Here is a 13,966-nt window from a genome sequence, read left to right as displayed (position 1 = left end):
AATAACCATAAAAATGGGCGACCAGCAGTCCTGGGGCTGCTCTGTCTATGGAGTAAGCCATTCTTAATTCCGTTATTTTCCTAATAAACTGCTCTCACTTTACGGACTCACCCTGAATTATATTTCTTGTGCAAGATCCAAGAACCCCCTCTTGGTGTCTAGATCCGGACCCGTTTCCTGTAACACATCCATCCCCCATCCCAGGGGTCAGCAGAGAGTAGAGAGCGACTCCCAGAGGAGCCTGGCCTCATCAGCCTGGAGGTCAAAGTCAAGGTCACAAGAGCAGGCCAACGCCAGCAGGTGGGGAAGTGTCTGCACAGAGTAGCAGCCCTGGGTGAGTCCAGACCCCATCTCCTCCTGCAAAGTGGGGCGACAGTAACCGCACTGTGAAGTGACCACATGGTAAAGACCGCAGGCCTGCAAAGCCCAGCGCAGGGCCTGGGCAGGTGAGAGCTGGGAGCTGTGGTCCACGCTTCGCACCCTCTCAGCGAGTGTCAGAGTCTGAGGGGCTCCAAGGTCCTGGCTGAGGGAGGAGCAGAGACAGAGAGAGACCAAGTGGAGGCTGCTGGGGTGCAGGCCGAGGCTGCCCTCTTCAGGCACCCCAGCCAGTCCGAGCAGGCGGGGTGTGTGGCCCCATGCTCCTGGCCACCAGCCTTTGCTCGGGGCCTGGGTCTGAGGCTCACCTGCCAGTCCCACTCCCCTCTGGAGTCTTTCGCAGAGGTTACGACACCCCGCATGCCCCGTGCACCTAAACCCCACTGAGTGTCCACCGCCTGGAGGCCTGTGTGACCCAGGGACCTGCAAAGGACCCAAACCCCACTGAATGTCCACCGCCTGGAGGCCTGTGTGACTCAGGGGCCCGCAAAGAAGACCTCAGCCTCCCGCTTGCTTAGAAATGCGGCTTGGACCAGAGCACCTCCCGGGGCCCACACCCTACTCTGCAGGCAAGGGCAGGCACCTGTGCCCCTGTTTCCGAACTGAAGACACATCCACGGGTCCCTTAAATTCACTAAAGCCTCCTCATGAAGGCAGGAGCCACTGTCCCAAGCAGGCTCCTGCCACAGGGAAGGGGACAGACCCACTTCAACTCCTTAGCCATGCACTTCCCCCTCAGAAAACACAGGGAAACGCCATCTCTCAAAGGAAGGCCTCTTCCTCCCAGACGCCTGCACACCAGGACACACGCCATGTGCACACGAGCAAGCAAAAACTTTAGTTTTTCTCTTTTACACAAATATTTTTTCAAATTGTACTCTGGGGCAAAAAACAAACAAACAAAACATACCTACGTTTTCTAAAAATTAACAGCCAGGCCATGGTGGCTCACTCCTGCAATCCCAGCACTTTGGGAGGCCGAGGTGGGCGGATCACCTGAGGTCAGGAGTTCAAGACCAGCCTGGCCAAAATGGTGAAACCCCGTCTCAACTGGAAGTACACAATTAGCCAGACGTGGTGGCGGGCACCTGTAATCCCAGCTACTCGGGAGGCTGAGGCAGGAGAATTGCTTGAACCCAGGAGGCTGAGGTTTCGGTGAGCCGAGTGCACCACTGCACTCCAGCCTGGGCGACAGAGCTAGACTCTGTCTCGAAAAAACAAAAAAATTCACCTGTTCAAATTTGGAGTTTGTTTTGAGACAGGGTCTTGTTCTGTCACTCAGGCTAGAGTGCAGTGGTGTGATCACGGCTCACTGCAGCCTCGACCTCCTGGGCTCAAGTGATCTTCCCACCTCAGCCTCCCCAGTAGCTAAGACTACAGTTGCGAGCCACCGTACTCGGCTAAGTTTTCTTTTTTTCGGTAGAGACAGGGTCTCACTATGTTGGTAGGCTGCTCTTGAACTCCTGGGCTCAAGTGATCCTCCCACTTTAGCTTCCCAACAGATTTGTTTGGTTTTTTTTTTTGCTTGTTTGTTTGTTTTGAGACAGAGTTTTGCTCTTGTCGCCCAGGCTGGAGTGCAATGGTACGAGTCAGCTCACTACACCACAACCTCTGCCTCCCAGATTCAAGTGATTCTCCTGCCTCAGCCTCCTGAGTAGCTAGGATTACAGGAGTGTGTCATCACCCCCAGCTAATATTGTGTTTTTAGTAGAGACGGGGTTTCACCACGTTGGCCATACTGATCTTGAACTCCTGACCTCAGGTGATCTGCCCACCTCAGCCTCCCAAAGTGCTGGGATTACAGGCATGAGTCACTACACCCGACAGATTTGTTTGTTTATTTTTGAGATAGAGTTTTGCTCGTCAGCCACATTGGAGTGCAGTGGCATGATCTCGGCTCACTGCAATCTCCGCCTCCCGGGTTCAAGCGATTCTCCTGCCTCGGCCTCCCAAGTAGCTGGGATTACAGGTGCGTGCCATCACACCCAGCTAATTTTTGTTTTTTTAGTAGAGACAGGGTTTCACCATGTTGGCCAGGCTGGTCTCGAACTCCTGACCTCAGGTGATCCACCCACCTTGGCCTCCCAAAGTGCAGGGATTACAGGCGTGAGCCACCACGCCCAACAGGTTTTTTGTTGTTGTTGTTGTTGTTGTTTATTTGTTTCTTTTTTTCTTTCCTTTTGAGACAGAATTTTGCTCTTGTCACCCATGCTGGAGTGCAGTAGCACAATCTCAGCTCACTGCAACCTCCGCCTCCTGGGTTCAAGCGATTCTCATGCCTCAGCCTCCCAAGTAGCTGGGATTACATGCACCTGCCATCACGCCCGGCTAATTTTTGTATTTTTAGGAGAGATGGGGTTTCACCATGTTAGCCAGGATGGTCTCGATCTCCTGACCTCAGGTGATCCACCTGCCTCAGCCTCCCACAGTGCTGAGATTACAGGTGTGAGCCACCACACCCGGCAATTTGGTATTTTAAATGCGTGCAGGAGAACCCAACGGCTCACAGATCCAATATATCACCTAATTCCCGAAAAATAGGGAAAGGAGCGGCTCAAGTACTGATGCCGGCGGGGCCAAGGAAGTCTTCCAGAAAAAAGCCCAGTGAGTTAGCACGAAAGGGAGTTTTCTCAGGCTATTCAGTGTCTTAGGCAGGGCGATTTAGGCATAGACATAGATCATGATTATAAAATATTTCACTGAGCCGGCCAGGTGCGGTGGCTCACGCCTGTAATCCCAGCACTTTGGGAGGCCGAGGCGGGCGGATCATGAGGTCAGGAGATCGAGACCATCCTGGCTAACATGGTGAAACCCCGTCTCTACTAAAAATACAAAAAAACCCAGCTGGGCGTGGTAGCGGGCGCCTGTAGTCCCAGCTACTCGGGAGGCTGAGGCAGAATGGCATGAACCCGGGAGGTGGAGCTTGCAGTGAACTGAGATTGTGCCACTGCACTCCAGCCTGGGCAACAGTGAGACTCCGTCTCAAAAAAAAAAAAAAAAAAAAAAAAAAAAAAAATATATATATATATATATATATATATATATATTTCACTGAGCCATTACTACAGGGAAAGTTCCTGTAGAGCTGAGCAGTCAAGACGTGTGACTTCACCAAGGACCAGCACAGAGTTCAAGGCTGCCTTCCGGCTGTTTGACTGAACAGGTGATGGCAAGGTCCTTCCAGCCCCTGTGGGGGCGTGATGAGGGCCCTGGGCCAGAACCCCACCAATGCCACGGCGCTCGAGGTCCTGGGGAACCCCAAGAGTGATGAGATGAACGTGAAGGTGCTGGACTTTGAGCACTTCCTGCCCCTGCTGCAGACAGTGGCAGGGAACAGGGACCAGGGCACCTAAGAGGATTATGTGGAAAGACTTCAGGTGTTTGACAAGGAAGAGAATGGCACCGTCATGAGCGCGGAAATCCAGCATGTTCTTGTCTCACTGGGTGAGGAGATGACAGAGAGAGGAGGAGAGATGCTGGTGGCAGGGCATGAGGACAGCAGTGGTTGCATTGACTCCGAAGTGCTTGTCCGCAGGCTGCTGAATGGCTGAGGGTCTTGCCAGCCTCCCCAGAGCCCAGGCCTTTCCCTGGGTGACATTTCGTATCTAGCCTGAGGCTCCCTAGGGCCTCTGGTTGCAGCACCTTTCCCATCTTGTCTCTCTTGGATGATGTTTGCCATCAGCATTCACCATATAAACTTGCTCTCTGTGTACCCCTCCCACCCAAAAAAATTTCAAGGCTGGGCACAGTGGCTCACGCCTGTAATCTCAGTAATCCCAGCTGAGGCGGGTAGATCATTTGAGGTCAGGAGTTCAAGACCAGCCTGGCCAACATGGTGAAACCCCATCTCTACAAAAATACAAAAATTAGCCGGGCGTGGTGGTGGGTGCTTGAAATCCCAGCTACTCAGGAGGCTGAAGTGGGAGAATCACTTGAAACCAGGAGGTAGAGGTTGCAATGAGATGAGATTGCACCACTGCACTGCAGCCTGGGTGACAGCGCGAGACTCTGTCAAAAAAAAAAAAAAAAATTTTGAAACTCAAGCAACAGAAGAGTTCGTTCTGGGAGACAAGTGAGCGTTAGATAAGGGCACTCAGACCACACCCCTCCTGCCTGGGAAGGCACCACACAGGCCGCTAAACACAAGCCTAGTGTCACTTCTTGGAAACACTAGAGGAGGTACTTCAGGGCCTCTCCCTCAGTTTCAGTTCTCATCTGGTTAATTTCCTAACGTCCCTGGTCCTGTCATTACACTAAAAAATAAGCCCATCCTTTAGTGTCGGGACAGGCCACAGACTGAACTTGGTCTCATAAAATCAGTGTGTTTTTGTTCCTCTGTTTTGCCGGAGCTGGAAGGGCTCAGTCCCTGGTGCCCCCTGAGCGCGGTGCAGTGAGGGGCGGGAGGCACGTGTTCTCTGCCACCACAAGCCCCCTCTGCCTCCGGACACGGCTCCATGGGGAGGGGTGGCCATGCTGGAGGAGTCTGTGCGCCTCGTGGGGAGGGGTGGCTATGCTGGAGGAGTCTGTGTGCGTGTCAGCGGTGTGGGGGTTCTGTTGGGGGCACATTGTCTTGTTCAGAGCGTCTGCTTCCTGCGTGGTCAAAAGCGGTGGTGGGCGCTGACCAGCTGGTCTCATAGGTCTCCGCGAGTATCAGGTGAATTTGCACTAGGGGAAAGCCACTGACGAGTTTCTCTGAAATTCTGTCCCTGAGTCTGTCCTTTACAAATCCACCTCCTCGGGGGCCTTTCCCTGACAGGGCTGTACCCGGCAACCCCACCCGGGCCCTGATACAGGAGCCCTACCCTGCCTTGGCCCTTCTGTGCACCCAGCCTGAGCAGCACCCGTCTCCCGGAAGCTCCACGATGGGGGTGCTGTCTGCCAGAACACAGAGCAAACTTCTGACAGCAGGGAGACTGCAGCCCCTTGCTCGTGTGGTGGCCTCCGGCAGTAGGGGCCGCAAAGACAAGTGTTTTCTCAGCCTTGTTGATGTGCTGGATTTGCTTCCCGGGCTGCTGTGCACAGCACACAGGCTGCAGGGCCTCGGCCACAGACACGCATCCTCTGACATCCTGGGGGCTGAACATCCAAGATCAAGGTGTCAGCAGGGCTGGTTCCTCTGAGGCCTCTCCTTGGCATGCAGACGCCGACTCCTCCGTGTATCCCCACAGGGCTGTCCCTCTGTGTGTGTGTCTGTCCTCATCTGCTCTTCTTACAAGGACACCGGTCCAATCAGGGCCCACCCTAGCGACCTCATTTTACCCTAATCACCTCTGTGAGGACCTCATCTCCAACGCAGTCCCCTTCTGCAGTGCTGGGGGTTGGGGCTTTGACAGGTGAATCCGGGGGAGGCACGCCCACCTGAACGCTCAGCCCATAACAAGTGCAGTCTCTCTTTTCCTCGCTGTCTTTCTGCAATACATACGAATGACTTATGTAACGCTGAAAAGCACTCTACGGTAATATACGCCTTACAGATGCAAAGCTGCAAAGCTGCCAAGCTGCCAGGAGCAAGTCCCGCATCTGGAGCCACCTGGCCTGCGTGGAGAGACGGAGGTGCTGACTGGCCGGATCGATGAGGTTCACGGCTCGCTTGCTTCTCTGTTGGTTGCAGCTGGGACTCACAGGTTCATGCCACCTCTTGGGAAGAGAATTTGGAATCTGGTAGGAAAGAGAAGACAAGAGCACGAGGGAGAACGCTGTGAGATGCAGGAGTGTTTCTCTGGGGCGGTTCATAGGATCACCTTCAGGAGGAAGCACCCCAGCCCTTCACCAACCCAGCCAATCAGAATCAGGGCAAAGCACCATCATCACCATCGTGGTCGTCATGACAAAGCCCCCGTTCATGGCATGCTATACCTGTGTAGCAGAAGCACCTTCCGAGACTAACTTGCCTGAGGTCACACAGCTGCAGGGAGTAAAAGCTCAGTCCCTTTAGCTGGAGAGCTTCTTTGCTCAACCCCTCGTAAATAATTGGAACAAAATAGGAGGGGCAGGCCTGATGTGGTGGCTCACACCTGTAATCCCAGCACTTTGGGAGGCAGAGGCGGGAGGATTGTGTGAGTCCAGGAATTCGAAACCACCCTGTGTAACATGGCGAGATCCTGTTTCTACAAAAAATAGAAACATTAGCCAGGCATGGTAGCATGAACCTATAGTCCCAGCTACCTGGGAGGCTGAGGTGGGAGAACCACTTCAGCCTGGGGAGGCTGAGGCTGCAGCAAGCCCTGATGGTACCGCTGCACTCCAACCTGGGTGACAGAGTGAGACCCTGTCTCACAAAAAAATAAAATTAAAATTAAAATAGGCCAGGCGCGGTGGCTCACGCCTGTAATCCCAGCACTTTGGGAGGCCGAGGCGGGCAGATCACCAGAGGTTGGGAGCTCGAGACCAGCCTGGCCAACATGGAGAAACCCCGTCTCTATTAAAAATACAAAATTAGCTGGACATGGTGGCACATACCTGTAATCCCAGCTACTTGGGAGGCTGAGGCAGGAGAATCACTTGAACCCAGGAGTCGGAGGTTGCGGTGAGCCGAGATCGCACCATTGCACTCCAGCCTGGGCAACAAGAGCGAAACTCCTCAAAAAAAAATTTAAATTAAAATTAAATAGGAGAGGCAGCTCATCCTTCCCCTGCCCTCCCCAAGTTGAAGCTGTCAGGGACCGTTGCTTACACAGAGACTGTGAGCAGAGAGCTGCTTGGGAGGGAATAGGAGTGGAAGTCCCCGGCAGGTAGGAGGTCCCCCTGGATGATCTCGAAGCTCCTCCTTGCCTCACGGTTCCAGATGTACTGATTCCTGGTCTGCAAACTGGATGCTTTCCCGTCTCTTTGGAAGCCTCTGGCTCCGTCCGCAGCCCCCTCCCTGCAATGGCCAGGTCCCTGCCAGGTCACCCAGCTTCCCAGCCTTGTTTGACCTCAGAATCAGAATTGACAGCAGAGTTGTCATGAGGATAAAATGAGATACAAATATGAAGCACCTGTCACTGTGACTGCGGAGGGACCTGGCACCCATCACTGTGACTGCGGAGGGAACTGGGCACCTATCACTGTGACTGCGGAGGGACCTAGCACCTATCACTGTGACTGCGGAGGGACCTAGCACCTATCACTGTGACTGCGGAAGGGCCTGGGCACCTATCACTGTGACTGCGGAGGGACCTAGCACCTATCACTGTGACTGCGGAGGGACCTAGCACCTATCACTGTGACTGCAGAGGGACCTAGCACCTGTCACTCTGACCACGGAGGGGCCTGGGCACCTATCACTGTGACTGAGGTGGGAACTGGGCACCTATCACGGTGACTGCGGAGGGGCCTGGCACCCATCACTGTGACTGCAGAGGGACCTGGCACCTATCACTGTGACTGAGGGACCTGGCACCTATCACTGTGACTGCGGAGGGAACTGGGCACCTATCACTGTGACTGCGGAGGGACCTGGCACCTATCACTGTGACTGCGGAGGGGCCTGGGCACCTATCACTGTGACTACGGAGGGACCTAGGCAAACTCCAGCTCCCCCGACCAGGGCTGTGTGCGTGGAAACGGTCCTGCCATCCACGAAGGAAGCTTTCTCCTTGGGGATTCAGTAGACAGATCCCCAGGCGTGGACAATTGTCACAGCATGCACCAGCCCAGCTGGGACACGCACAAACACCAGACGGTCTGTAATTGAACTCTGATTAATACACACAGCAGGCAGCCTGCTGAGAGGCAAGCCATTTCACAGCAAACCCGGCAACAGTTTATTTTATAACCTATATAATGAAGAGGTCGTGGTTTAAGTGAAATTTAAAAATGTCTGTCCTGAGGAGGAGGGTTCAGTTCAGATGTGCACGATTCCCCTGTGGCCCGGCTGCCAATACCAACTGCCTGCACCTCCAACAGCCCCCCTGGATGGGTGAGTGCAGAGTCTGCTCATGAGGTGGGGCCTCACTCCCTTCCCATGCTTGTGGGGCCCCAGCTGGCTTTGCTCATGAGTGGCCTGTCCCCATCTCTTTCCATGTACCCAGGCTCATGACTAGGCATTTGCCCTGGTCTATGATATGAACCCCAAATATCTGAGACAAGTCTCAATTTAGGAAGTTTATTTTTTCCAAAGTTAAAGGTGCACATCTGTGACACAGCCTCAGGAGGGCCTGGCGACCTCTGCCCAAGGTGCTCAGCACACAGCTTGGTTTTATACATTTTAGGGAGGCACGAGACATCGATCAATATATGTAAGATGTTGATAGGGTTGAGCTTTGTGTCCCCACCCAAATCTCATCTCGAATGGTTTGGCTTTGTGTCCCCACCCAAATCTCATCTTGAATGGCAATCCCCACATCCCCACACGTTTAGGTCGAGACCTGGTGGGAGGTGACTGGGTCCCGGGGTTCCACCCTGCTGTCCTTGTGATAGTGAGGGGGGTTCTCATGAGATCTGATAGTTTTATCAAGGGCTTTTCCCCCTTCACTCACCACTCTCTCGCCTGCCACCATGTAAGACATGCCACTTCCCCTTCTACCACAATTTGTAAGTTTCCTGAGAGCTCCCCAGCGCTGCAAAACTATGAGTCAATTAAATCTCTTTTCTTTCTAAATGACCCAGTCTTGGGTATGATGTCTTCATAGCAATGTGAAAATGGACTAATACAGAGGACATTGGTTTGGTCTGGAAAGAGGGCAACTTGAAGTGGGGAAGAGTCTTCCAGGTCATAGTAGATAAGAGACCAATGGTTGCATTCTGGTTATTTATTTATTTATTTTTTGAGGCAGTCTCCCTCTGTTACCCAGGGTGGAGTACAGTGGTGTGGTCTCAGCTTACTGCAACTTCTGCCTCCTGGGTTCAAGTGATTCTCCTGCCTCAGCCTCCTGAGTAGCTGGGATTACAGGTGTGAGCCATCACACCCGACTAATTTTTGTATTTTTAGTAGAGATGGGGTTTCACCATGTTGGCCAGGCTGGTCTCGAACTCCTGACCTCAAGTGATCCGCCTGCCTCGGCCTCCCAAAGTGCTGGGATTACAGGCGTGAGCCACCGCGCCAGCCAATGGTTGCATTCTTTTGAGTTTCTGATCAGCCTTCCAAAGGAAGCAATCAGATATGCATTTATCTCAGTGAGCGGAGGGATGACTTTGAATAGAATGGGAGGCAGGTTGGCCCTAAGCAGTTCCCTGCTTGATTTTTCCCTTCAGTATAAATAACTTAGTAATTTTGGGGTCCCAAGGCTTATTTTCCTTTCACATTGACTATCATTAGTCAATAAAACAGGGACTAGTGTTTATTGAGTGCCTCTGAAGTGTCTGCTCCCAAACAGGCGGGCGTGCCCTTCCAAACCCTGGTGCGCTGGGCGGCACCTCAACCCCTGCCACACCCTTCCTTCCTTGCTACGCCTGTTCCAGGATGCTGGACAGGGCACAGGGCTCCAGCGCCTGCTGGAGTTCCTGTTCCCTCCTTGGCTGAAGCTCCTGCAGCCGTGTTCCTGCCATCCTCCTGTGGTCTCGTCCCCATCAGGTGTCCTAGTGGGGGCACTCCTAACACCTTTCCTCAAAAGCAGCCTTCCAGATAACTGCACCCCACACTCAGATGTCAGCTCCACAGCCCCCCGGCCCTGCCATTTCCCAGCTATGGTCCATTGCACTAATAGCCCCAATAATCTTCAGCTCCTCCTACTGTCAGAGGCATTTGAACCAGAGCAACTCCATCTTGAATCGGGGCTGGGTAAAACGAGGCTGAGACCTGCTGGGCTGCTGCATTCCCAGGAGGCCAGGCATTCTTAGCCACAGGACGAGATAGGAGGTCAACAGGACTGGTATCACAAGACACAGGTCACAAAGACCCTGCTGATAAAACAGGATACACTAAAGGCACCCGCCAAAACCCATCAAAACCAAGATGGCAATGAAAGTCACCTCCAGTCATCCCCATTGCTCATTATACACTAATTATAATACATTAGACACTAATATATTATAATGAAAGACACTCCCACCAGCACCATGACAGTTTACAAATGCCACAGCAAGGTCCAGAGGTTACCCTACATGGTCTGAAAGGAAGAGGAACCCTCAGTTCCAGCGTTGCCTGCCCTTTTCCCTGGAAAACGTGTGAATAATCCACTCCTTGTTTAGTACATGATCAAGAAATAACCATAGGCGCCTGTAATCCCAGCTACTCCAGAGGCTGAGGCAGGAGAATCGCTTGAACCCAGGAAGCAGAGGTTGCAGTGAGCTGAGATTGCGCCATTGCACTCCAGCCTGGGCAACAAGAGCGAAACTCTATCTCAAAAATAAAATAATAATAAATAAATAAGTACATAAATTGTTTTTAAAAAGAAAGAAGTAGCTTTAAAAGCACTTGCATATTGGGGCTTGTTTTCTTGCTAGTCCTGGAAACCCTGTTATCCCGCCCTGTGAACAAGCCTAGGCTAACCTGCTGGGTGACGAGAGGCACAGCCTACCCTGTGACCAGGTGACTGCCAGCCAGCCACCGGGCACGAGAGTGAGGCCACCGGCCTCCAGCTGACTTCAGACAAAACCAGAGGAAGAACTGCCTAGCGGAGCCCAGCTGATCCCGCTAGAATGCAGGGCGAGGTGCCGTGCCTCACACCTGTAGCCCATAGAATCATGAGCTAAATAATGGTTCCTCTAAGCCATTCGGTTTTGGGGTGGTTTGTTACACAGCCATAGGTAACTGCTACATCAACTAATTGCCCTGTCTCTGCCAGCTCACACTGACAGAGGCCTCAACATGCCCTCCTTCCAAAATTGCTGATGAAGATACAACTAATACCTTATGTTCCCAGGAATAAAGAAATATTCCGCTATTTTACAGCTGAGATGAATGGATGTATTTCAAGTTGCCTCAGTGTTGATGTAAAAAGAAATGAGCCAGGTGTGGTGGCTCACACCTGTAATCCCAGTACTCTGGGAGGCTGAGGTAGGCAGATCACTTGAGGTCAGGAGTTCAAGACCAGCCTGGCCAACATGGTGAAACCCTGTCTCTACTAAAAATACAAAAACTAGCTGGGCGTGGTGCATGCCTGTAATCCCAGCTACTCGGGAGGCTGAGGCAGGAGAATCTCTTGAGCCTGGGAGAAGGAGGTTACAGAGAGCCGAGATCATGCCACTGCACTCCAGCCTGGGCAACAGAGCGAGACACCGTCTATAAATAAATAAATAAATAAATAAATAAATAAATAAATAATGAAACCAGAGGTGTCTGTTTAGCCCAACTCCACTGGGCGGCTGCTTGAATCATGGCCCTGAGAATTGTGATTTTACGGAATACACTGTAGGGAGCATCTAACTGGGTGAGACTTCAGAACCTGCTGGACTAAATTACCCTAACTGCTTTACAGTTTTGCATTAGAGAGGATAAAGGTGGGGTGGGGGCCACAGAAAGGGGGGGCTTCTATCGCTCCATAACAGGGGTGGGCTCCGGACGCTCTTCCAGCCATGTTCTTCCCACCCCCAACCTCCTCATCAGCTTTAGACAGGATCCTACCATCTCGGGCAAGAGATGGATTCAGTGTGGCGTCCGTCTACCCCCCCAGAGGGCCGAGCCCTGTCGGGTACGTGCACAGTCGTCAAGACTATCATAAAAGGATACAAAATGCCATGACAGAGCAGCACAAGGGCAGATGGAAACTGGAGCCCAGGATGTCTGGTGAACAGGTGGAACGCAGCAGAGCTCTGAGGGACGACCAGGCACTAGGAACAGGATTCAGGCAGAGAGGACGCGGGCGGCAAATGCAGGACCAGGCCACGGGGACACAGCAATGCTGCCACATCGTCCCTGCCTGGGGCCATCTGGCCTCTGTCCCCTCCCCACACTCTTGTAGAGGGTGCAAGTCAAAGCCCACACTCTGTCTAATCCTGTCCCTAAATTGGATTCTACCGCTCTCAAGGACGATCCCGCTGGTAGCAGCAGCGGTTAAGTGCCGAGCACATGTTCTGTCCTGGGCGCTGCGCTGGGCCCCTTCCCTGTCTGGTCTCTTTAATACCCCAAGGCTAAGAGGGCAGTCTCAGCACTCTCAACTTGCAGGTGGGAAAGAAAACAGCGGCAGAGACTGACTTGTACGTTCCTGACCACACAACCGAACCAGATGGAAGCCCAAGCCGTGCAATGTGAGAGAACATAACAGAGGCGACATTTTCCCTCTGAGTCAAACTGCTTGGGCAGAGAGTTTAGGACTGAAATCTGCAGGCTTTTAAAATATTTATTTATTTACTTATTTATTTATTTTGAGATGGAGTCTGTCTCTGTCCGCCAGGCTGGAGTGCAATGGTGCGATCTCCGCTCACTGCAACCTCCGCCTCTCGGGCTCAAGCAATTCTCCTGCCTCAGCCTCCCAAGCAGCTGGGACTATAGTTGTGCACCACCACACCTGGCTAATTTTTGTATTTTTAGTAGAGACAGGGTTTCTCCATGTTGGCCAGGCTGGTCTCGAACTCCTGACCTCAGGTGATCCACCCGCCTCGGCCTCCCAAAGCTCTTGGATTACAGGTGAGTGCCACCGCGTCAGGCAGGTTCATTTTATCTTTATTGGAACAAATATGAATGGTTAGATGGATATTATTCTTTAGGGCAAAACTAACATTTTAAAAAGCTAGCCCATCAACTTAAAAATTAAACAAATTAAGATATATAGGATACTTGTATTAAAAAGCATTCCTTAACTTTAAAATGGGCCTAGCAAAAGAAAAAATATTAATAAAGGTGGCAAAGAAACAATTAAGTTTAAGAAACATGGCTTAGCCCAACCATATGCAGTGACTCACACCTGTAATCCCGACGATGTGGCCAAGACAGGAGAATCACGTGAGGCCAGGAGTTCAAGATCAGCCTGGGCAACATAGCGAGACCCCATCTCTATAAAAAACTTAAAAAATTAGCTGGACATGGTGGTCCGGGCCTATAGTTCCAACTACTCTCAGGAGGCTGAGCTGGGAAGATCTCTTAAGCGAGGGAGGTTGAGGCTGCTGAAACAATGCTTAAAGAGAGTGGGCACATGTCTTTGTTAAATTACCAGCCATTTTTTTTTTTTTTTTGAGACAGGGTTTTACTCCTGTCGCCCAGGTTGGAGTACGGTGGCACAATCACGGCTCACTATAGCCTCTATTTCCCTAGCTTAGGTGATCCTCCCACCTCAGCCTCTTGGGTAGCTGGGATTACAGCCATGCCACCACATCCAACTAATTTTTTTGTATTTTTAGTGGAGATGGGATTTCACCATATTGTCCAGGCTGGTCTCAAACTCCTGGACTCAAGTGATCCACCCGCCTTGGCCCCCCAAAGCATTGGGATTACAGGCGTGAGCCACTGCGCCCAGCCCATTCTTAAGAATATACCCAATCTGATCCTTGGTTGGCCTTGGCTTGTGGTGACCTTGGCATTTGGAAAGACTTTCCATCTGCATCTCAACATCCCACCATGTTTCAGAATCCAGTTCAGAGATGTGTGCTCGAAAAACACTCCTGAGCTAGGAACACAGGCTCCCTCCCCGGTTCCCCTGGCCACCAGCTTGTCCTCGGAACCCCTGTGGCAGATGTGTGCATTTTATCTCTTTATACCACTTTTTACTGCAATTTCATATTGGGTGAAAGTGGA

At 52.1% G+C, this 13,966-nt stretch overlaps 1 pseudogene, besides 2 other annotated features; it reads left to right on the top strand.

Annotated features, from left to right (window-relative positions):
- MYL6P1 (MYL6 pseudogene 1) lies at positions 3,431-4,093 on the top strand (annotated as a pseudogene).
- Positions 3,436-3,485: an enhancer, noted in NCBI's record as "active region_18552". NCBI's record gives its function as "activates an Ori minimal core promoter by ATAC-STARR-seq in GM12878 lymphoblastoid cells {active_cell/tissue: GM12878}" and the evidence as "EXISTENCE:reporter gene assay evidence [ECO:0000049][PMID:35858748]".
- Positions 9,260-9,806: an enhancer, noted in NCBI's record as "H3K27ac-H3K4me1 hESC enhancer chr21:45269891-45270437 (GRCh37/hg19 assembly coordinates)". NCBI's record gives its function as "activates a minimal SCP1, AML or CMV promoter by ChIP-STARR-seq in primed H9 embryonic stem cells {active_cell/tissue: H9 hESC(primed)}" and the evidence as "EXISTENCE:reporter gene assay evidence [ECO:0000049][PMID:30033119]".

This window comes from Homo sapiens, chromosome 21 (assembly GCF_000001405.40).
Source record: "Homo sapiens chromosome 21, GRCh38.p14 Primary Assembly".
NCBI lineage: Eukaryota > Metazoa > Chordata > Mammalia > Primates > Hominidae > Homo > Homo sapiens.
This window is presented reverse-complemented; position numbering and strand designations above follow the sequence as displayed.